Raw genomic sequence first — 25,276 nt, 5'->3', positions numbered from 1 at the left:
CCTTTGATGTGTCTGAAGTGTTGTTTTCTTTTTAATACATTAGCCTGAGGTTTGCAGAACCTTTGAATCTGTGGGTTTATGTCCTTTATCGGTTTTAAATAATTCTTGGCTATTATCTTTTATGTATTTTGTCATATTTTTTCTTGCTGTCTTTCTGAGACTCTCATAAATATATGTGTTAGAACTATTCACCATGCCTCGAACACTCTTAGAATTCTTCTGTATTAGGCCGGGTGCGGTGGCTCACACCTGTAATCCCAGCCCTTTGGGAGGCCGAGATGGGTGGATCACGAGGTCAGGAGATCGAGACCATTTTGGCTAACACAGTGAAACCCCGTCTCTACTAAAAATACAAAAAAATTAGCCAGGCATGGTGGCAGACACCTGTAGTTTCAGCTGCTCAGGAGGCTGAGGCAGGAGAATGGCGTGAACCCATAAGGTGGAGCAAGCCGTGAGCCGAGATCGTGCCACTGCACTCCAGCCTGGGCGACAGAGTGAGATGCTGTCTCAAAAAAAAAAAAAAAAAAATTCTTCTGTATTACAACTTTTTTTGCTTTCATGCTACAGTTTAGATATTTCCTACTGAGTTATAATTTAATTCACTACTTTTTTTCATCTATTTCAACTACCATTAAATCAATCTATTGAGTTCTTAATTTCAGATATTGTATTTTTTTATTTCTAGAATGCCTGTTTAATTCTTTCTTAAATAATTCATTTCTCAGGACAAATTATTTACGATTTCAACTATTTCTTTTCTATTTTTTCATCTGTTTTATTGAACACATTAATCATAGTTTTAAAAAAGTTCTTGTCTGCTAACTCTAATATCTGGATCATCCATTAGTCTGTTATTTTATGTTTTTTTTCTCTTGATTTTTGACCATGCCTTCTGTTTTTTGGCATGCCCTATAATTTTTAATAGCTTGCCAGATACTGCATATAAAACATTGTAAAGATTCTAAATGATGTTATTTTCTACTAGTGAAATTTCACACTTTCCTCTGCAAGGTAGATACAGGTGAAGATAAAATTACATTAACCCAATTATGAACTGTGCTGATTACATTTTTGCCATTACTTAATTTACCTCTTGGTTGTTTCATTTTCTTAAGTGTAGTACTATGGGGATATCAAACATGAGCCTGATGTTTTTGAGGGTCCTTCTATCAGGTTCTTAACTTTACTCTTTGATGCCTCTGTATTTCAGTTTTTTGGCTTAGATTTTTAGCTTCACACTGCCTTTACTCCTTACAAATACCTTGATCAAGAAATAGGCCATGTGCTTTGAGGCTCCTCAAATGTGCAATTTTGTCATTCTGGCCCAAGAAGACACAGTTGCTTAGCAGCATTTCTCTGCCAGGCTAATCTCAAATTTTTACTCTGTTGCCTTTATCAGAAAATGCCCTGAGGGAGAGTGCACCTGCACACCAGTAGCTCACCTCTCAGAGGTCTACCCTCATCAGAATCGTAGGCTTCTGGTCTATGGTACTTCTACAACTCAATGAGGTCTTTAAAAATAGGATCTTGTTACATTTTGCCTGAATTTCTTTTTAATTATTCATGTAGAAATGTGGTCTTTTGTAAACTACTCATTTCCTCTAGAGCCAAAGCCATCCAATAAGTAATTAATTTCTTGGTAATTTCATTCAAAGTTGGTAACTTTTACCTCCTAAGTACTAAAAACTGCAAAATGTTTTGGAAATTTTTAACGTAATAATTTCTAGTACCATATATATGACAGTAATAAAATTATTGTAGTTTCTTTTTTCCAAGATGGCAGATTGGAGGCAAGTGTTACAATGCCTATTCTATTTGGAAAGACAAAATAGTGTATAGCAATTCTCACTGTGAACTTTTTTTCTGAGAAGCAATGCAGGAACTTAACAGGAAAACTGAAATAAATCACAGACCCTTTGAAAGAAGTGGCAGGCTGGCAGCCCACACTGTGAGCCATGTGAAAAACTTCTTCCTCAGAGTGTGAAAGGCAGAGAGAATGCCTCCAGGATACACACCCCAACTGGGGAACCTGGCAATCTGCCCATGGGGGAACACCTTAACTCTACCCAGTGCTAGAACTGATTTAAGGAGCAATGGGGAATATGAAAGTAGGAGCAGTGTGGGAAGAGCCTTGCAGGCATTTTTGGTCTCCAGTGTGAACCAAGGGAAGCCATTCCTGATTCTGTGTCATGGGGGGATCTCACAAAAATCTTCTAGTTAACTCAGGCAGGGAGAAGGTGGGAAGTGTGCTGCAGCCACAAGTGCAGGAGCTGCACACCCTAGCTTTACAGGCAGACTGGGAGAAGCATGGCCTGAAAGCTGTGGTTGCAGTCTCTGTGGGGAAGGCTTATGGCCTGGGGCATTTTGAGTTCTGAGCATTAAGTGCCTAGAACTTAGACAGCTGTTGCTAGCAGGTGTGAGTTTTGCTTTGCCAAGTGCATGGGAGCTGGACGGGGTTTACTGCCACCTGCTACTCCTGACTCCCTGTACAAACTCATTTGTACATCAGAGGCAGATATGCTCCTCCATAGAACATTACTCTAGTGGCCAACGAATTCCTCTGATGCTCACTGGGGCCACTGCTGCCCTGCATGGGTAGAGTCAGAGCGTGGAGCTACCTGATGGAGCCCCCACCTGGCTTTGCTCCTCCGTTTGCCCTAATAGCTTAACACAAAGGACAGAAATGTTTGGGAGCTCTATAGCTCTGCCCGTCACCTGAGAAACCACAGTATCTCCCCTGGGTAACATAAGGCAAGTACAAATCCCACCACTACTACCACAACTGAGACTCTTTTGCAAGCACCACCTCCTGGCTGGAGGCTGACTGACACAATGCATTACAGTATCTCCAAGTAGAACAACAATGTGCCCAGAAAGGAGAAAACTTGTGCATGACCTCTGCTATCACTATTGTCTGTATCATTCTGGCTACCAACCTGGCTAACCAGAGGTCCTGAGTCTGTCCATGTGACCAGTTCATTACTACCACCACCAGCATTTGAGAAAACCAACACACTAAGGCTATTTATAACGAAGGAATCTCATAGAGTCTATGACCCTCCCCTGCCATCCCCATCAGAGATGGTGCTGGTACCTGATGCTGGGAGACTTGAGGAACTGTTACATCAGTGGATCCCTTGCAGACTTTCCCAGCACCAACCTGGAGTGTGGCAACTCCACTGGGTTACTAGACCCAGAGGAACAGCAGCATTCATAGTGGCCTGGCTCTCAGGGACTCCTGGTCCTAGGCGAAAGGAAAGTATGCCACATTAAGGGGACGCTCCATGGGACAAAAGAATCCAGCTGGCAGGCCTTGAGTCCCAGATCTTTTTGCTGTTGGGAAGTTTCTTTCTTCAGAGGCACAGTTGCAGTACTGGGTTCAGCAGGGAAAGTCTGCAGCTGTACCCCAACAGTCAGGCAGCTCTGGTGCTCATGAAGGGTCTTGGAGAAGGGGAATTCTTTTTCCTCCCATCCACCACTGCAAGACACAACTGGGTCTTCTCTTACAGGTGTTCAGCATGGGTGCACCTAGACAACCTTTTTCAAACATTTCAGGGTGACTGCATCCTGGAGGATGCACCTTTCAGGTTCAGGTGTGGTTGAGAGGTAGAGTCAGAACTCCTCTATACTTGGAACATCAACATTCCTGAAGATGAAAATAGGTGCCTGTCTGATGGAATAGCAGGAATACTGGAACAATGGGTCATGAGTGTGTCTGGAATGTGGATTGCTTTTCTGCTGCCCTGACACAGGGGCGGAGGTAGCTCCCACCCTTTCCCCTGATAAGACCTCAGTGTACTTCTCTGAGAGCTTCTCCCAACCTCCAGCCAGCTCTGTCAAGGCTGGGACCTCTGCCTACCATTACATATTGCATTTACCCACCTGCTTTAATCACAACCAGTTTCTTCCCTGGGACGCCTATCCTACTAGCCTGAAGCCTGAGTTGTTCAACCCAGTAAATAAAATACTGGTGAATAAATAAATTAATTAAAAGCACACATCATGGGGGAATGAAGTAGGCTTCAAGAGACCTCTGCTATTCCAACTCCGTAGGATATAGTGAACTTGCTCACACACTGAGCATGTTGCTACCGAGAAGCATCTGAGAAGGTTATCATGCAAAGAGTCTCTATAACTAAAGCTCTCACACAGGGTCTTCACTCCTGAATGCACCAATTACTGAATTAGGCTACATTAAACTATAAGCTTTAAAGTCACAGTCTTAAGGGGGGAAAAAGAAATAAAAAAAAACACAGTCAAATAAAACATAATTTCAAGAATAATTAGAAGAAATAGTATACCCAAATGAGAAGGAACCAGAAAAATAATTCTGATAATATGACAAAACAAGGTTCTGCAATACACCCAAAGGTCACACTAGTGTAACCACCCAATGGGTTCTCCTTGCCTGCTGCCTGGAGAGAGCCAATTTATCAAGACAGGGGAACTGCAATAGAGAAAATGTTATTAATGCAGAGCTGTCTGTATGAGAGACCAGAGTTTTATTATTACTCAAATGAGTCTCCCCCAAAACTTGGAAATTGGGGATTTTAAGGACAATTTGGTGGGTAGGGGACAGTGAGTCAGGAGTGTTGATTGGTTGGGTCAGAGATGAAATCATAGGGAGTCAAAGCTGTCTTCTTGTGCTGAGTCAGTCCCTGGGTGGGGGCCACAAGACCAGATAAACCAGTTAGTTGATCTGGATGGTGCCAGCTGATTCATCAAGTGCAGGGTCTGTAAATATCTCAAACACTGACCTTAGGTTTTACAATAGTGATATTGTCCCCAGGAGCAATTTGGGGAGGGTCAGAATTGTGTAGAGGTAGCATGAGAGGAGTCCAGCTGCATGACTCCTAAACCATAATTTCTAATCTTGTGGCTAATTTGTTAGTCCTACAAAGGCAATCTAGTCTCCAAACAGGAAGGGTGTTTGTTTTGGAAAAGGGCTGTTATTGTCTTTGTTTCAAAGTTAAACTATAAACTAAGTTTTCCCAAAGTTAGTTCAGCTTATGCCCAGCAATGAACATGGACAGCGTGGAGGTCAGAAGAAAGATGAAGTTGGTCTTTCACTGAAATAATTTTCTCAGTTATAATTTTGCAATGGCAGTTTCACTAGCTCTCTAGCAATAGATCCAAACCAAGATGAAATCTTGGAAATACCAGAAAACGAATTCAAAAGATTAATTACTAAGGTATTCAAGGAGATACCAGAAAAAGGTGAAAACCAACATAAAGAAATTTTGAAAAAATCAGCATATGAATGAAGAGATACATATTTTAAAGAGAAAAAAATCAGAACTTCTGGAAATGAAAGACACATTTAGGGAATTACAAAATGTGGTAGAGGTTTTAACAATAGGCTAGAACAAGTAGAAGAAAGAGTTTCAGTGCTTGAAGACAAGGCTTTTAAGCTAACCCAGTCAGAGAAAAATAAAGAATAAAGAACAGAAATGAACAAAGTTTCCAGGAAATAATAGATTATGTAAAATGGCCAAACCTAATAATAATTGGTGTTTTGAGGAATAAGAGAAAGTATAATGTTTGGAAAATTTATTTGAGATACTAGAGAAAGGTGAAAATTAACATAAAGAAATTAAAAAAATTTCAGGATATGAATGAAAAAATTTCTAAAGAGATAAATATTTTAAAAAGAAACAAATCAGAACTTCTGGAAATGAAAGACACATTTAGGGAACTACAAAATGCAGTGGAGGTTTTAACAATAGATTAAAATAAGTAGAATAATTTTTTGAGGAAATTGAGGAAAACTTCCCTGGCCTTGCTGGTGATTTAGATATCCAAATACAAGAAAGTCAAAGAACTCATGTGAGATTCATTGCAAAAACAAAAAACAAAACAAAAAACAAAAAACAAAACACAAAGGCATATAGTCATCTAGCTATTTAAAGTCAATGTGAATGAAATAATTCTAAGAGCCATGAGGCAAAAGCATCAGGTAACCTGTAAGGGAAAACCTTTCAGACTAACAGCAGACTTCTCAGCAGAACACTTACAAACCAGAAGGGACTGGGGTCCTATCTTTAGCCTCTTTAAATAGGATAACCATCGGCCAAAAATTTTGTATCCAGCAAAACTACGTCATTTTCAGACAAATAAGTGCTGAGAAAACTTTTTACTACCAGACCAGCCCTACAAGAAATGCTAAAAGGAGTCTAAATCTTGAAACAAAAGCCCATTATGCACCAGAATAGAACCTCTTGCAAGCATAAAACTCACACGGCCTATAAAACAATAATACAATGAAGAAAAAAAAGTAAGTAACAATTCACATGTTGATTGGAACAGTATCTTGATATTATGTTGAACGTAAATGGCGTAATGGTCCACTTAAAATATACAGATTGGCAGATTAGATAAGAAAAATCACAAACTAGATATCTTTGGTCTTCAAGAGACTCACCTAACATTGAGGGATTTATATAAACTCAAGGTAAAAGGGTGGTAAAAGTTAATCCATGCAAATGGAAACCCAAAGTGACCAGGAGTAGCTATTCTTATATTAGATAAAACAACAACAAACTTTAAAGCAACAGCAGTAAAAAATGACAAAGAAGATCATTATATGATGATAAAAGGATCAATTCAACGAGAAGATATTATAATTTTAAATGTATAAGCACTTATCCCTGGAGCTCTCAGATTTTTAAAACAATTACTACTTGACTTAAGAGAGGAGATAGAAAGCAACACAATTATAGTGGGGGACTTCAACACCCCATTGACAGCAGTATACAGATGACTGAGACAGAAATTCAACAAAGAAACAATGGTCTTAAACACTCTAGAACACATGGACTTAACAGATATTTACAGAACATTCTACCTAAGAATTTCAGAATATACATTCTTCTCATCAGCACATGGAACATTTTCCATGATAGACCTATATGACACACCACAAAACAAGTCTCAATAAATGTGAAAAAATAAAAACTGTAGCAAGTATCTTCTCAGATCACAGCAGAATACAAATAGAAATCAACTCCAGAAGAAACCCTCAAAACTATACCTATACATAGAAATTAAACAATCTGTTCCTGAATGATTTTTGTGTTAAAAATGAAATCAAGTTGGAAATTAAACAGTTCTTTGAAATGAATAATAGTGACATGAGTCATCAAAACTTCTGGGATACAGCAAATGCAGTGCTAAGAGGAATGTTTGTAGCACTAAATGCCTACATCAGAGCCTGAAAGACCACAAACTGACAACCTAATGTAACACCTCAAAGAATAAGAGAAACAAGAACAAACTAAGCCCAAATCTAGAAGAAAAGAAGTAACAAAGATTAGAGTAGAACTACATGTATTTGAACAAAAAATCAATACAAAATATCAATGAAACAAAAAGTTGGTTCCTTGAAAAGGCAAATAAAATTGATATAACTTTAGCTAGATTAACCAAGAAAAGAAGAGAGGAGATTCAAATAAGGTCAATTAGAAATAAAATTGGAGACATTACAACCTACACCACAGAAACACAAAAGATCATTTGAGATAGCCATGAACACAAACTAGAAACACAAACTATGCACACAACCTAGGAAATCTAGAGGAAATGGATAAATTCCTGGAAACCTACAACTTTTTTAGATTAAATTGGGAAGAAATAGCAACCCAGACCAGACCAATAACAAGCAGCAATATTAAATCAGTAATTAAAAATTGACAACAAAGAAAAAAGCCCAGGATCAGATGGGTTCACAGCTGAATTCTACCAGGCATTCAAAGAATTGGTACCAATCCTACTGGTGAAACTATTACAAAAGATTGAGAAAGAAGGAATCCTCCCTAACTCATTCTGTTAAGCCAGTGTTACCCTGATACCAGAACCAGGAAAGAACATAACAAAAAAAGAAAACTACAGACCAATATCCCTGATGAATGTAGATGCAAAAACTCTCAACAAAATACTAGATAGCTGAATCTATCAGCACATCAGAAAGATAATACATCATGAACAAGTGGGCTTCATTCAAGGGATGCAGGGATGGTTTAACATAAGCATGTCAGTAAATATGATTCATCACATAAACAATTAAAAACAAAAACCATATGGTTATCTCAATAGCTGCAGAAAAGCATTTGATAAAATCTAGCATCTTTTTATGATTAAAAACCCTCAATAAACTAGGTATAAAAGGGACTTAGTTCAAATTAATAGACACCATCTATGACAAACCCACAGCCAACATTATATTGAATGAGGAAAAGTTGAAATCATTCCCACTGAGAACTGGAACAAGATGAAGATCCCCACTTTCACCACTTTCCATTCAGCAAAATACCAGAAGTCCTAGCCAGACCAATCAGGCAACAGAAGGAAATACAGTGCATTTAGATTGCAAAAAAGGAAGTAAAACTATTGCTGTTCACCAATGATATGATTATATATCATAGAAAACCCTAGAGATTTCTCAAAAGTGTTGACTGGATAAGCCTAGAGATAAGATTAGATTTGATAATCAAATTCAGTAATGTCTCAGGTTACAAAATCAATGTACGCAAATCAGTAACACTGATATACACCAACAATGACCAAACTGAGAATGAAATAAACTCAATCTCCTTTAGCTGCAAAAAAGATAAAATATCCTGGAATATACTAACCAAGGTGAAAGATCTCTACAAGGAGAACTACAAAACACTGCCGAAAGAAATCATAGGTGACACAAACAAATGGAAACACATCCCATTCTCACGGATTGCAAGAATCAATATTATGAAAATGACCATACTGCCCAAAGCAATCGACAGATTCAATGCAATTCCTATCAAAATACCAGCATCATTTTTCACAGAATTAAAAGAAACAATCCTACAATTCATATGGAATCAAAAAAGAGCCTGCTTAGCCAAAGCAATACAAAGCTAAAAGAACAAATCTGGAGGCAGCACATTACTGGACTTCAGATTGTACTACAAGGCTGTAGTTACCAAAATACACAGTACTTATATAAAAGTAGACATATAGATCAATGGATCAGAATAGAGAATGCAGAAATAAAGCCAAATATTTACAACCAACTGATCTTTGACAAAGCATAGAACAGCATAAATTGGGGAATGGACACCCTATTCAATAAATGGTCCTGGGAAAACTGAATAGCTACATTTAGAAGAATGAAACTGAATCCCTACATCTCATTTTATATAAAAAGCAACTCAAGATGGATTAAAGACAAATCTAATACCTGAAACCATAAAAATTCTAGAAGATAACGTAAGAAAAACTCTTCTGGACATTGGCTTAGGCAAAGAATTCATGACTAAGTCTCCCAAAGCAAATGGAACTAAAACAAAAATAAACAAATTAGACCTAATTAAACTACAGAGCTTCTGTATAGCAAAAGAAATAACCACCAGAGTAAACAGACAACCCACAGAATGGGAGAAAATATTGCAAACTATGCATTGGGCAAAGGACTAATATGCAGAATCTACAAGGAACTCAAACAAACCAGCAAGAAAATAAAACAGTTTCATGAAAAAGTGGGCAACTGACATGAATAGATATTTATTAAAAGAAGATATACAAATGGCCAGCAAATATATGAAAAAATATTCAACATCACTAGTCATCAGGGAAATGCAAATTAAAACCGCAATGAGATACCACCTCACTCCTGCAAGAATGGCCTTTATTTCTATTATTATTTTTTTGAGACAGGGTCTCACTGCCTTACCCAGGCTGGAGTGCAGTAGTGTGATTATGGCTCACTGCAGCCTTGATCTCCCAGGCTCCAGGGATCCTCTTACCTCAGCCTCTCCAATAGCAGGGACCACAGGTATATGCCACCACACTCAGCTAATTTTTGTGTTTTTTGTAGAGATAGGGTTTCACCATATTGCTCAGGCTGATCATGAACTCTTGGGCTCAAGTGATCTGCCTAATTTGGCCTCCCAAAGTGGTGGGATTACAGGTGTGAGCCACTGTACCCATCCAAGAATGGCCAGTGTTAAAAAGTAACGAACAAAAACCAATAAACAAACCCAAAAAAACAATAGATGTTGGGGTCTTGAAAAGAGAATGCTTATAAATTAATGGTAGGAGTGTAAGTTAGTACAATCTCTGTGGAAAACAGTGTGGAGATTTCTTAGATAACTAAAAATAGATCTACGATTTGATCTAGTAATCCCACTACTGGGTATTTACCCAATGGAAAATAAGTCAATACATTAAAAAGACACCTGCATGTGTATGTTTATTGTAGCCAAATTCACAATTGCAAAGATAAGGAACCAATCTTAGTGCCCATTGACCAATGAGTGGATAGAAAAAATGTGGTATATATACACCATGGAATACTACTCAGCCATAAAAAAGAATAACATAATATCTTCTGCAGCAACTTGGATGGAGCTGGAGGCCATTATTCTAAGTGAACTAGCTCAGGAATGAAAAACCAAATACTGTATGGTTTCACTGATAAGTGAGAGCTAAGCCATGGGTACGCAAAGACACACAGAGTGATATAATGGACTTTGGAGACTTAGAAAGGGGAGGGTGGGAGGAGAATAGGGGGATAAAAAACTACTTATTGGGTACAATGTACACTACGTGGGTGATGGGTGCACTAAAATCTAAGAATTCACCACTGTACTATACATCCATGTAAGGAAAAACCACTTGTACCCCAAAAGCTATCGAAATAAAAATTATTATAAAAATAAGTTATTTTTCAGCTTCAAACAATTTAAAAACTACACAAAAATAATAATGCTGGCTTAGATGTTCTATATTCAAAGGCTTTCACATTTTTAAAAGATGTGACTGTGATTGTTCTATTTTTGAAAGTGATAGAAGCTACCTATATTATCTGGAGTGGATAGGTTGGAATAATATCATGTGGAAAAAAGTGGAGAAGTGCCATCTTCAGCATTTTGGGTAGAGGCAGATCATGTCACAGATACATTAGGTGGGTAATGGATGTTTTAGTAAATTAATGTTACCAAAAAATGGGCCAAGAAAGAAATATGTCTATTAGCTACTATGTGTCAAATTCTGAAATATTAACTATGAATATCAAATTCTGAAACAAAAACAGTAAAATGTGTAAAAAAATGGGAAAATAGATTCTTACCCCTTTTGCATATACAAAGGATGTTGCTGCTGTTTATTCTATTTAATTAAATGAATACAAATAAATTGTATGACAAAATAGAAAGTATCACAAGGATTAATTGCTCATTGAAATATTACATTACTAGATTCCTCTAGCCTATTAATTTAAATCTTCAATGCATATAAAGAATTATGATATTTAAGAGAGTGAGTGGATCATTTTGCTTAGAAAATATATTAACCCAGAATTGCCACAAAATTAAATGGTTAAATGTAAATATATTTTTATTAATAATAAATTGTTAAATAATACTATATAATTGGCTAAGTATCTTATACTAATATATTATTGAGACAGAACTTGCTGGTTATGAAATAGAACATAGCTAATATGTTTAAGTAATGTGTGCAGATCCATTATACTTACCTAGAGGTTCATATAATCAATTCTTTTTCCATTTTAATATCTCATTGACTTACAGCTTTTTCTTTCTGTGTCATATTTTGAAAATTTTATTTGTTTATGAATATGTGTCTTTATTTAATGCCAGATAATACTGATGAACTTCATTGCAAACTTATTATTTATAGTGCCTCTTGTATTGATAAAAATAAATGATGTACTCTTTTTAACCCCTTCTTTCAACAGGAATTTTGGCATTCACAGGGTGTGGGAATTTCTGATGAATTACCTAACTTGACTAACAAATATGCTGCTTTCTTGTCAAGAGCCAAAAGAACTATGAAAGTACCAGATATGGTAAGAATACTCCTACAATCAAATATTTTCATTATCTAGAAATCATGGAGGAGGCTGCATAACATAAACATTATATTAGGACCTGAGTGAGGTAACTGGTAGCGTGCTGTAACCTCCTTGGCTAGACCGATACTTTTATATTTTTAAAGTTCAACAAAATTCTTCAAGCTATGCCAAAGTCCAGAATTGCTATATGAGAGATTATTACATGCAACATCCCTTGTAGGGTCAGAGAACATTCATTCTTAGGACATATATGAAAGCTGAACTTGCTGTGTTGTATATGGAGCAAAAGATTTACTAGGTTCAACTCATTTTACTCATAGTGCAAATGTTTTCTCTTTTCAATGGAATTCGTCTTGAAATCTAAGACTCCCGAGTGATTTATTTTTACTCCTGTTGACCTGTATGTTAAATGGTATGGCTATAAATTTTTCTGAATTTCCATTTTTTAAAATAAATACCTAGTAGTGAGTAAATTGAAAACAGTGAAGCAGATTAAATTAAAAAATTAGTAGTTGAGCAATTCAGATTGAATTTACAAATATATCAAAGTAAAATTTAGAGTTAAAAAGTTGGACCCAGTGATAATGTTGCTAGAGTCTAAATGTTTGTATCCTCTTAAAATTCATATGTTGAAATCCTAACTCCCAAGGTGATGGTATTAGGAGGTGGCACTTTCTGGGAGGTGATTATGTCATGAGGGTGGAGACCTCATAAATAGGATTAGTACTCTTATAAAATAGGCCCAGGCAGGCTCGTTTGCCCCTTTTACCATGAGGACTCAGAGAAGATACTGTCTATGAGGAAGCAGGGCCTCTCCAGATACTGAGTCTGCTTGTGCCTTGGTGTTGAACTTTCCAGCCTGCAGACCTGTGAGAAATAAATTTCATTTACAAGCTACCCAGTTTATGGTATTTTGTTATAGCACTCCAAACAGAGAAAGACAAATGTTACAGTGTAGCCTTTTGTGAACAAGGTGTTATTAAAATACATTTTTGTAGAAATTGGACTATCTTGAGAAGATATTGTTAATAACAAATTTCAAAACAGGATTATTAAACAAGGTTTAAAATGTAGCTAATCAATGAAAACAGAGTATAACTTGCTGAAATAAAATTCTGCTACGTGAGATAATGCCAACAGTTGATTTGTAATATTTTTGATTGTAAAATAACTGGTACAAGATCATGATGAACTAATTTAAGGGAATGACAAATGCAATGCTAGTTAATATAACTCTGAATGTCTTGGAAATAATAGCAATTAGATTAATTTGGTGAAAGCTATTCAGGAGTGGACTTATTATTTTTTTTTCTGAGGCATTATTGGAATCTGAGATGTAGTCAAAATCAGCATCAGGTTCTATTCTATGAGATTTTTGTAATTATAAATTCAAAAGACAGTTTAAAATCATCTAGCAATATTCTTTACATGTAGTAGATTCTGAGTAATTTTTAACTAATAGTGCTGTTTTAATGGATTATTTCTTCATCTTGAGGAATTTTAGAGTTCAACTGTATTTTTCAAGTGAGTCATTGTTGTACACACCTCAGGATCCATTGTGAAGTATGCCATGACTAATTTATTACTAATATAATGCTTTTATGCTTAGGAGTCATTGAATGGATTCAAAGTTATTTCTATCATAATATCACAGGTAGTAGGAAAAAACAATGGAAATTTCTGAAAGCATCCATAGGAAGGCAGTATGTGTATATATATGTATAGATACGTTTTAAATATATATATATATACACACATATATATATTTAAAACGTATCTATACATATATATGTTAAACTTTGTAGTGAAAAAAGATGGTGCACATCTGCTCTAAAGGAAGACAAGTTGCTTCACCAATATTTTTGACTTAATTTACATATTTTTCTTTTAACTTTGTCCCTCTTTAGATCTGAAAACTTCTTTTTAGTGTTCTCTTTTCTGACATGAAACATTTGCAATTAAAATTATTCAGTGGGACTCTGGTTACCCAAGAAGCAGAATAGTTTAGTCACATAGAAAGCTTGGTTTTTAAATCTCTTTTGCAAATGACAATACACTTCAAACAGGTGGGTGTATAATGTGTATGTAATGAAAAATCCAAATTATTGATCTCAAAATAAAATTGAAATAATATCTCAAATGTATAAAGTAATGGAATTAATTTTATTATTTACTTTAAATAAAAATAAAATTTACCTCCCAGGTATTTTACTTATGGATATGCTGCAGTCTTAAAAGATGATTTGATAGCTTAATTTTCCCAGTTGTATCTTTGCATAAAAAATATAGCTCCCTTCCAGACTTCTGGTTTCATATCAAAGACTTATTTCTTTTACAACATCCCAGGGAAATATTTTTTATTCTTTTAAAAAAACCATGACATAAGCATTAGATGATTATAAATAGAAAGAAAATGTGACAAATGGAGGATGAACATAAACAAAACATCTGTTTACTGAGCATTCTAGAAGCAGAATGTTGAGACAATAATTATTTGATATAGAAAACAGAAAGTTGTTTCAAGCTGAATAAAAACATAAGTTACTGATTTGAGGAGCTTAACAGAATGCCAAGGAGGATAAATATAAAAATACCTATGTCCTTTTCACTTTTTTTTTCATTTTCAGAAGATCCTAACTAAAGCAAATATCCTTGAAGCTTCCACAGAGTAAAGTCGCTGGGTAACCCACAAAGGGATGAGAAATATAACTTATGTCAGGTACTAGCTTAGCAACATTAGCCGCATTTCAAGGCTAGGAGATGGTGAAGTAATATTTTCTTAAATTTCTCAGGGGAAATGATTTTGGATATAGAGTTCTCCCTCTACCTAAAGTTTCAATTAAATGAATCAAGAAAATAATTTTCTGACATGCAATAGTTCATAAAGTTTAGTAACTCTATGTCTTCATATGTGGAGTTGCTCCAGTGAAATAAAAAAAGGAAACAAAAGAATGGTGACATAAAGACAAAGATGAATATGAACCGAGCATTTCCTAGACAAAGTAAAGTGAAAATAATTAATGAAGAAGTCATTTTAGCTCATGTATGACATATTCTTCAAGAGGCAGGAGTTTGATGACATAAAATTTGTTACTTGTGTATGGCCACACTACTTGGCTCTGTAGGGAATAATAATGATAATATAAATCCTGCTTTAAAATTGGTTTATTTTAAAATCACAATAAAGTGATACAGGAGCTGAAGGATGAAATAGCTGGTATAAAAAAGAACCTAACAGGTCTAACAGAGCTGAATAACACAATACAAGAATTTCACAATGGAATTGCAAGTATTAATAGCAGAAGAAACCAAGCTGTGTAAAGAATCTTAGAATTTGGAGACTGGTTCTCTGAAATAAGACAGTCAGACAAAACCAGAGAAAAAAGAACAAAAAGGAATGAACAAAACCTCCAAGAAGTATGGGATTATTTTAAGAGGCCAAGTCTGTGAATCACTGGCATCCCTGAAAGGGAAGGGAAAAAAGCAAACAACTTGGAAAACATATTTAAGGATATAATCCATGACTACTTTCCCAATTTTGCTAGAGAGGCCAACAGTCAAATTCAGAAAATACAGATAACTTCTGCAAGATGCTACACAAGAAGATCATCCCTGAGACACAGAAACCTCAGATTTTCCAAGGTTGAAATGAAAGAAAGAATGTTAAAGTCACCTAGAGAGAAAGAGCAGGTTACCTACAAAGGGATCTCTATGAGGCTAACAGCCGACTCTCAGCTGAAACCCTATAAACCAAGAGACTGGGGGCCTATATTCAACTTTCTTAAAGAAAAAATCTTCAACCAAGAATTTTATATCCAGCTAAGTTAAGATTCCTAAGTGAAGGAGAAATAAGGTCCTTTTCAGATAGGTAGATGTTGAGGGAGTTCATTACCACCAGACCTGCCTTACAAGAGATCTTGAAAGAAGCTCCATGTATAGAAAGGAAACACCACTACCAGCTAATATGAAACACATTTAAACACACAGGACCAGTGTGACTGTAAAATAACCACATGAACAAGCCAACATAATAACCAGCTAACAGCACAATGCCAGGATCAAATCCATTCATATCAATACTAACTTTGAATGTAAATGGACTAAATGTCCCAGTTAAAAGGCACAGAAAGACAAGCTGGATAAAAAAGCAAGACCCAATTGTATGCTGTTTTCAAGTGACCCATCTTACATGTAATGACTCTCATAGGCTCAAAATAAAGGGATGGAGGAAAATCTGTCAAGCAAATGGAAAACAGAAAAAAAGCAGGGGTTGCAATCTTAATTTCAGACAAAACAGATTTCACACCAGCAAAGATCAGAAATGACAAAGAAGGGCATTACATAATGGTAAAGGTTTCAATTCAACAAGAAGACCTAGCTATTCTAAATATATATGCACCCAACAAAGAGAACTCAGATTTATAAAGCACATTCTTAGAGACCTACAAAGAGACACAGACTCCCACACAATAAGACTTCAACACCCCACTGACGGTATTAGACAGATCATTGAGTCAGAAAATTAACAAAGATATTCAGGAGTTAAATGCAACATTGGACCATGGATCTGATAGACCTTTTCAGAACTCTCCACCCCCAAACAAGAGAATATATACTCCTCTTATTGCCACATGGCACATACTCTGAAATTGACCACATCATTGGACATAAAACAATCTTCAACAAATGTAAGAGAACTGAAATCATACCAAACGCATCCTTGGACCACAGTGTGACAAAAATAGATGTCAAGACTATAAAAAAATCACTCAAAATCATGCAATTATATGGAAATTAAACAACATGCTTCTGAATGACTTTTGGGTAAATAATGAAATTAAGGCAGAAATCAAGAAGTTATTTGAACATAATGAGAACAAAGATAACACATACCAGAACTCTGAGATACAGCTAAGGCAGTGTTAAGAGGAAAATTCATAGTACTGAATTTCCACATCAAAAAGTTGAAAAGGAGGGGCAGACCCAAGATGGCCTACTAGAAGCAGTGGTGGTCAGAGGCTCCCACTGAGAAGAACCAAAACAGCATGTGAATCCTATACTGGCAACCAAGGTATCCAGGTTCTCTCATCAGGACTGACCAGGTGGTTCGCATGACCAATGGAGAGCAATGAAAAGCAGGGTGGTGTGTCGGCCCACCTGAGAGCCACATGGGGTAAGGGGCACCTCCAGCACCAGCCAAGGGAGGCAGTGAGTGAGCGTGCCATCCAGCCTGGGAAGCTCTGCTTTTTCCACAGATCTGTGCAACCCACAGATCAGAAGATCCCACTTGTGAGCCCACACCACCAGGGCCTTAGGTCACAACCACAGAGCTGTTCAGATTCTCAACAGTCAATTGGCTGGAATCTGGCTAAGAGTTCCTGCAGGGGTGGGTGGCCATCGTCACTGTGGCTGCCTGCTGTCTAAGCCTTCTGACTTAGTCACTGTGGCTACTGACTGCCTAAGACAACTGAGCTCCCCGAGGGAGGGATAGCCATTATCACTGCAGCTGCCGGCTGCCTAAGACAGCTCAGCTTCCCAGGGGAGGGATGACAGCTATCACTGTGGCTGCTGGCAGCTTAAGACACCGGACTCTTGGGGGTGCTGGGCAGCAGCCATCGCTATAGCTCCAGGCAGCTGTTTTTTTCCTGCTGGTGCCAGGGAGACTGGACTACTTGGTTCCAGGAGATATTCCCCACAGCGCAGCATACCAGCTGTGGCAGATCATGGCCAGGCTGCCTTCGTAGGCCAGATCCTGACCCATCCCTGCTCTCTGGGTGAGGCCTCCCTGCAGGAACTCCAGCAACTCCAGCCGGGGGCTTAGGGACAGAACTCTGATTTCCTTCAGTCTGAATCCCTAGGGGAAGGGGTGGCCATGGTCTCTGTGGACCTGCAGACTACGTCTTCCTTCCTGCTAGCTCTGAGGAATCTAGCAGCCCAGATGAGTGGGTTTGCCCCAAGTGCAGTACACCCCCTCAACCAAGCGACAGCCAAAGGGCTTCGTTAAATGGGTCTTGGTTCCTGCGCCCACCCCAGTTGTGCAGCAGCCCCCAACAGGGGTCAGCAGACACCATATACAGGAGTGTTCCTACTGACATTAGGTTGGTGCCCCTCGAGGTCAGAGATCCCAGAGGAAAGAGCAGGCACCCATCTTTGCTGTTCTTCAGCCTCCTCAGGTGACATCTCCATGTGCAGGAGGGACCCAGATGAATAGAGCCTTAAGTGAACCCTCAGCAAACCACAGCAGCCCTACAGAAGAGTGACCTGACTATTCAAAGGAAAACAAACAAACAGAAAGCAACAATAACAGCATCAACAAAAAAGTTCCTACAAAAACCTCATCCAAAGGTCAGCAGCCTGAAAGATTGACACTAGACAAACTCACGAAGATGAGAAAGAATTAACAAAAAACCGCAAAAATTCAAAAGGACAGAGTGCTTCTTCTCCTCGAAATGATCACAACACCTCTTCAGCAAGGGCACAGAACTGGACAGAGGATGAGATAGATGAATTACAGAAGTAGCCTTTAGAAAGGTGGATAATAACATACTTTGCTGAGGTAAAGGAGCATGTTCTAACCCAATGCAAAGAAGCTGAGAACCATGATAAAAGGTAACAGGAGCTGCTAGCTAGAATAACCAGTTTAGAGAGGAACATAAATGGCCTGATGGAGCTGAGAAACACACCACAAGAACTTTATAATGCAAACACAAATATCAATAGCTGAATCGATCAAGCAGAAGAAAGAATATCAGAACTTGAAGACTGTCTTGCTGAAATAAGGCAGGCAGACAAGTTTAGAGAAAAAAGAATTAAAAGGAACAAACAAAACCCCCAAGAACCTTGGGACTATGAAAAAATACTGAACCTATGACTGATTGGAGTACTTGAAAGAGAAAGGGAGAATGAACCAAGTTGAAAAACACAGTTCAGGATATCATCCAGGAGAAATTCCCCAACTTAGCAAGACAGGCCAACTTTTAAATTCAGGAATCCAGAGAACCCCAATAACATACTCCATGAGTAGATCAACCCCAAGACACATAATCATCAGATTCTCTAAGGTTGAAATGAAAAACAAAATGTTAAGGGCAGCCAGATATAAAGGCCAGGTCACCTACAAAGGGAAGCCCATTAGACTAACAGTGAAGCTCTCAGCAGAAACACTGCAAGCCAGAAGAGAGTGGGGGCCAATGTTCAACATTCTTAAAGAAAAGAATTTTCAGCCCAGAATTTCATATCTGGCCAAACTAAGCCTTATAAGTGAAGGAGAAATAAAATCATTTTCAGACAAGCAAATGCTGAGGGAATTCATTACCACCAGGCCTGCCTTGCAAGATCTCCTGAAGGAAGCACTGAATAAGGAAAGGTAAAACTGGTACCAGCCACTCTAAAAACACATTAAAGCACAAAGACCAATGAAACAATGAAGAAACCGCATTAATTTGTGGGCAAAATAACCAGCTAGCATCATGATGACAGGATCGAATTTAATAACATAACAATGTTAACCTCAAATGTAAATAGGCTAAATGCCCCAGTTAAAAAGCACAGACCCGCAAATTGGATAGTGTCCCAAATCATCAGTGTGCTGTATTCAAGAGACACATCTCATGCAGAAAGACACACTTAGGCTAAAAATAAAGGGGTGGAGGAAAATTTACCAAGCAAATGGTAAACAGAAAAAAGCAGGGGTTGCAATCCTAGTCTCTGACGAAACAGACTTTAAAGCCAACAAAGGTAAAAAGACAAAGAGGGGCATTACATAACGGTAAAGGGATGAATTTAATAAGAAGAATTAACTATCCTAAATATATATGCACCCAATACAGGAGCACCCAGATTCATAAAGCAAGTTCTTAGAGACCTACGAAGAGACTTAGAGTCCCATACAATAATAGTGGGAGATTTTAACACCTCACTGTAAACATTAGACAGATCATCAAGACAGAAAATTAACAAGGATAGTCAGGACTTGTGCTCAGCTCTGGATCTAGTGTAACTGATACGTATCTACAGAACTCTCCACCCCAAAACAACAGAATAGACATTCTTCTCAGTGCCACACAGAACTTACTCTAAAATCGATCACATAATTGGAAGTAAAACACTCCTCAGCAAATGCAAAAGAACAGAAATCATACTAAACAGTCTCTCAGACCACAGAGCAATCAAATTAGAACTCAGGATTAGGAAACTCATTAAAAACCGCACTACATGGAAGTTGAACATCCTGCTCATGTATGATTCCTGGGTAAATAATGAAATTAAGGCAGAAATCAAGAAGTTCATTGAAACCAATGAAAACAAAGAGACAATGTACAAGAAGCTCTGGAAAGCAGCTAAAGCAGTGTTAAGAGGGAAACTTCTAGCACTAAGTGCCCACATCAGAAAGCTAGAAAGATCTCAAATCAACACCCTAACATTACAAATAAAGCAACTAGAGAAGCAAGAGCAAACAAATCCAAAAGCTAGCAGAAGACAAGAAATAACTAAGATCAGATTGGAACTGAAGGAGATGGAGATGCGAAAAATTATTCCAAAATCGATGAATCCAGGAGCTGGGTTTTTGAAAAAATTATTGAAACTATGAAGAAACTTCATTAACTTCTGGGCAAAGTTAATGTAGCTAGCATAATAAAGAGGAAAAAAGAGAAGAATCAAGTGGACACAATAAAAAGTGATAAAAAGGATATCACCATTGAACCCACAGAAATATAACAATGATTAGATAATACTATAAACACCTCTATGCAAATAAACTAGAAAATCTAGAAGAAATGGATGAATTCCTGGACACATACACCACACCATACTACAGTAGGAAGAAGTCGAATCCTTGAATAGACCAATAACAAATTCTGAAATTGAGGCAGTAATAAATAGCCTATCAACCAAAAAACGCCCAGTATCAGATGAATTCACAGACAAATTCTACTAGAGGTACAAAGAGGAGCTGTTACCATTTCTTCTAAAACAATTCCAAACAACTGAAAAGGTGGGGCTTCTCCTTAACTAATTTTATGAGGCCAGCATCATCCTGATACCAAAACCTGTCAGAGACAAAACAAAACAAAAAAACTTCAGGCCAATATCCCTGATGAACATAGATGCAAAAATCCTCAATAAAATATTGGCAAACCAAAACCAGCACATCAAAAAGCTTATCCACAACGGTCATGTCGGCTTCATCCCTGGGATTCAGGGCTGGTTCAACATACGCAAAACATTAAGTGTAATTCATCACATAATCAGAACTAATGAAAAAACTATATTATTATTTCAATAAACACAGAAAAGGCCTTCGATAAAATTCAACATCCCTCATGTTAAAAACCCTCAATAAACTAGGTATTGATGGAACATATCTCAAAATAATAAGAGCCATTTATGGCATACCTGCAGCTAATATCATACTGAGTGGGAAAAAGCTGGAAGCATTCTCCTTAAAAACTGGCATAAGATGAGGATGCCCTCTCTCACCACTCCTTTTCAACATAGTATTTGAAGTTCTGGCCAAGGCAATCAGGTAAGAGAAGGAAATAAAGGGTATTCAACTAGGAAGAGAGGAAGTCAGATTGTCTCTGTTTGCAGACAATATGATCCTATATCTAGAAAACCACATTGTCTCAGCCCAAATCTCCTTAAGCTGAAAGGAACTTCAGCAAAGTCTCAGGATACAAAATCAATGTGCAAAAATCACAAGTATTCCTATACACCAACAATAGACAAGCACAGAGCCAAATCATGAGTAATTCCCATTCACACTTGCTACAAAAAGAATAAAATACCTGGGAATACAGCTAACAGGGAATGTGAAGGACCTCTTTAGGAGAACTACAAACCACTGCTCAAGAAAATAAGAGAGGACACAAACAAACAGAAATACATTCCATCCTCATGGTTGGGAAGAATCAATGTCATGAAAACAGGCATACTGCCCAAAGTAATTTATAGATTCAATGCTATTCCCATCAAACTACCATTGACATTCTTCACAGAATTAGAAAAAACTACTTTAAACTTCATATTGAACAAAAAAGAGAGCCCGTACAGCCAAGACAATTCTAAGCAAAAAGAGCAAAGCTGGAGGCATCACACTGCCTGCCTTCAAACCACACTACAAGGCTACAGTAACCAAAACAGCATAGTACTGGGACTAAAGGAGACACATAGATCAACGGAACAGAATAGAGATCTCAGAATAATACCACATATCTACAACCATCTGATCTTTGACAAACCTGACAAAAACAGGCAAGGGGGAAAGAATTCCCTATTTAATAAATGGTGCTGGGAAAACTGGCCAACCATATACAGAAAATTGAAACTGGATCCCTTCCTTACACCTTATACAAAAATTAACTCAAGATGGATTAAAGACTTAAATGTAAAACCCAAAACCGTAAAAACCCTGGGGGAAAATCTAGGCAATAACATTCTGGACATAGGCTTGGGCAAAGATTTTATGATGAAATCACCAAAAGCAATTTCAACAAAAGAAAAAATTGACAATTGGGATCTAATTAAACTAAAGAGCTTCTGCACACCAAAAGAAATTTTCATCAGAGTGAACAGGTAACCTAGAGAGTGGGAGAAAATTTTTTTGATCTACCCGCCTGACAAAGGTCTAATATCCAGAATTTACAAGGAACTTAAACAAATTTACAAGAAAAAACAACCCCATCAAAAAGTGGGCAAAGGACATGAACCGAGAATTCTCAAAAGAAGACATTTATATGGCCAATAAACAAATGAAAAAAAGCTCAACATCACTGATCATTAGAAAAATGCAAATCAAAACCACAATAAGATACCATCTTATGCCAGTCAGAATAGTGATTATTAAAAAGTCAAGAAACAACAGATGCTGGCAAGACTGTGGAGAAATAGGAACACTTTTATGCTGTTGGTGGGAATATAAATTAGTTCAACCATTGTGGAAGACAGTGTGGCGATTCCTTAATGATCTAGAACCAGGAATACCAATTGATCCAGCAATCCCATTACTGGGATATATATCCAAAGGAATACAAATAATTCTATTATAAAGATACATCCACACATATCTTTATTGCAGCACTATTCACAATAGCAAAGACATGGAATCAACCCAAATAACCATCAATGATGGACTGGATAAAGAAAATGTATTATATATACACTATGGAATACTATGCAGTCATAAAAAGGAATGAGATTATGTCCTTTGCGGGTGCATGGATGGAGCTGGAAGCCATCATCCTCAGCAAACTAACACAGGAACAGAAAACCAAACACTGCATGTTCTCACTCATAAGTGGGAGCTGAAAAATGAGAACACATGGACACAGGGAGGGGAACAACACACACTGGGGCCTGTTTGGGGCCCAGGGGGAAGGAGAGCATCAGGAAAAATAGCTAATGCATGTGAGGCTTAATACCTAGTTGATGAGTAGATAGGTGCAGCAAGCCAACATGGCACACTTTTATCTATGTGACAAACTAGCATGTTCTGCAAATGTGTCCCAGAACTTAAAATAAAATTAAAAAAAAATTTGGAAAAATCTCAAATTAACAACCTAACTTCACAACTTGAAAAATTAGAGAATCAAGGATAAATCAACCCCAAAACTAGTAGAAGATGAAAAATAGCAAAAATCGGAGCTAAACTGCAGGAAATCAAGACACGAACAAACATTCAAAAGATCAAAGAATCCAGGAGTTGGTTTTTGAAAAAATTAATAAAATACATAGGCCACTAGCTAGACTTATGAAGCAAAGAGAGAATATTCAAACTAACACAATTGGAAATGACAAAGGGAATGTTACTACAGATCCCACAGAAATAAAATCAGCCATCAGAAACTACTGCAAACATCTCTACACACAAAGTACAAAACCTAGAAGAGATGGGTAAATTCCTGGACACATACATCCTCCCAAGACTTGAACCAGGAAGAAATTGATTCCCTGCACAGACCAATAATGAGTTCTGAAATTGAATCAGTAATAAATAGCCTACCAACTAAAAAAAAAGACCAAGACCTGATGGATTCATAGCTGAATTCTACCAGATGTACAAAGAAGAGCTGGTACAGTTTCTACAGAAACTATTAAAAAAAATTGAGGAGAAGGGACTACTTCCTAACTCAGTCTATGAGACCAGGATTATCTTGATGCCAAAACTTGGCAGAAACACACACACACACAAAAAGATAAAAAAACAACAAACAACAACAACAACAAAAAACAAAAAAACCAAAAACAAAAAAACTTCAAGCCAACATCTTTATTGAATATTGATGCAAAAATCCTCAACAAAATACTTGCAAACTGAATCCAGCAGCATATCTAAAAGGTAATCCACCATGATGAAGTAGGATTTATTTCCAGGATTCAAGGTTGTTTCAACATATGCAAATTGATAATGCGATTTATCACATAAGCCAAACTAGAGACAAAAACCACATGATTATCTCAATAGCTTCAGAAAGGCTTCTGATAAAATTCAACATGCCTGCATGTTAAAAACTCTCAATAAACTAGGTATTGAATGAATATTTCCCAAAATAATAAAAGCCATTTAGGACAAATCCACAGCCTACCTTATACTGATTGCACAAAAGCTGGAAGTATTCCTTTTGAAAACTGTCACAAGACAAGGAAGCTTTCTCTCACCACTTTTATTCAGCATAGTATTGGAAGTCCTAGCCAGAGCCATCGGGCAGGAGAAAAAAATAAAAGGCATCCAAATAGGAAGAGAGGAAGCCAAACTATATCTGTTTGCAGATGACATGATCCTATATTTAGAAAATCCCATAGTATTGGCCCAAAAGCCCCTTCAGCTAATAGAAAACTTCAGATAAATTTAAGGATATAACATCAATCTACAAATGTCATTAATATTTTCATACACCAACAGTAGTCAAGCTGAGAGCCAAATCACAAATGAACTCATTCACAAAGGCCACAAAAAGAATAAAATACCTAGAAATACAGCTAATCATGGAGGTGAAAGGTCTCTAAAATGAGAATTACAAAACACTGCTCAAAGTAATGAGAGAAGACAGAAGACACAAACAAATAGAAAAACATACCACGCTCATGGATAGGAAGAATCAATATTGTTAAAATGGCCATACTGCCCAAAGCAATTTGTGGATTCAATGCTATTTCTATGAAACTACCAGTGACATTCTTCACTGAACTAGAAAAAAACCTTTAAAAAGTCATATGGAACCAAAAAAGAGCCTTAATAGCCAAGGCAATCCTAAGCAAAAAGAACAAAGGTGGAGGCATCATGTTACCTGATTTCAAATTATACTACCAGGTTGCAGTAACCAAAACAGCATGGCACTGGTACAAAAACAGGCACATAGACCAATGGAACAAAAAAGAGAGACCAGACATGAGGGCCATACATCTACAACCATCTGATCTTCAACA

General features: G+C 37.2%; 1 protein-coding gene across 7 annotated transcripts in view; it reads left to right on the top strand.

Annotated features, from left to right (window-relative positions):
* STPG2 (sperm tail PG-rich repeat containing 2) overlaps positions 1-25,276 on the top strand; it is a 702,228-nt gene that overhangs the window by 187,735 nt on the left and 489,217 nt on the right. For all 7 annotated transcript variants that reach the window (XM_047450118.1, XM_017008049.3, XM_011531886.4 and 4 more), the window contains one exon: positions 11,735-11,845. In XM_047450118.1, the coding sequence (XP_047306074.1) occupies positions 11,735-11,845 (111 nt within the window). The remainder of the gene's footprint in view (positions 1-11,734; positions 11,846-25,276) is intronic.

Source organism: Homo sapiens, chromosome 4 (genome assembly GCF_000001405.40).
Source record: "Homo sapiens chromosome 4, GRCh38.p14 Primary Assembly".
Classification (NCBI taxonomy): Eukaryota; Metazoa; Chordata; class Mammalia; order Primates; family Hominidae; genus Homo; species Homo sapiens.
The sequence above is the reverse complement of the archived record's forward strand: the minus strand, read 5'-3'. Positions and strand labels throughout refer to the sequence as shown.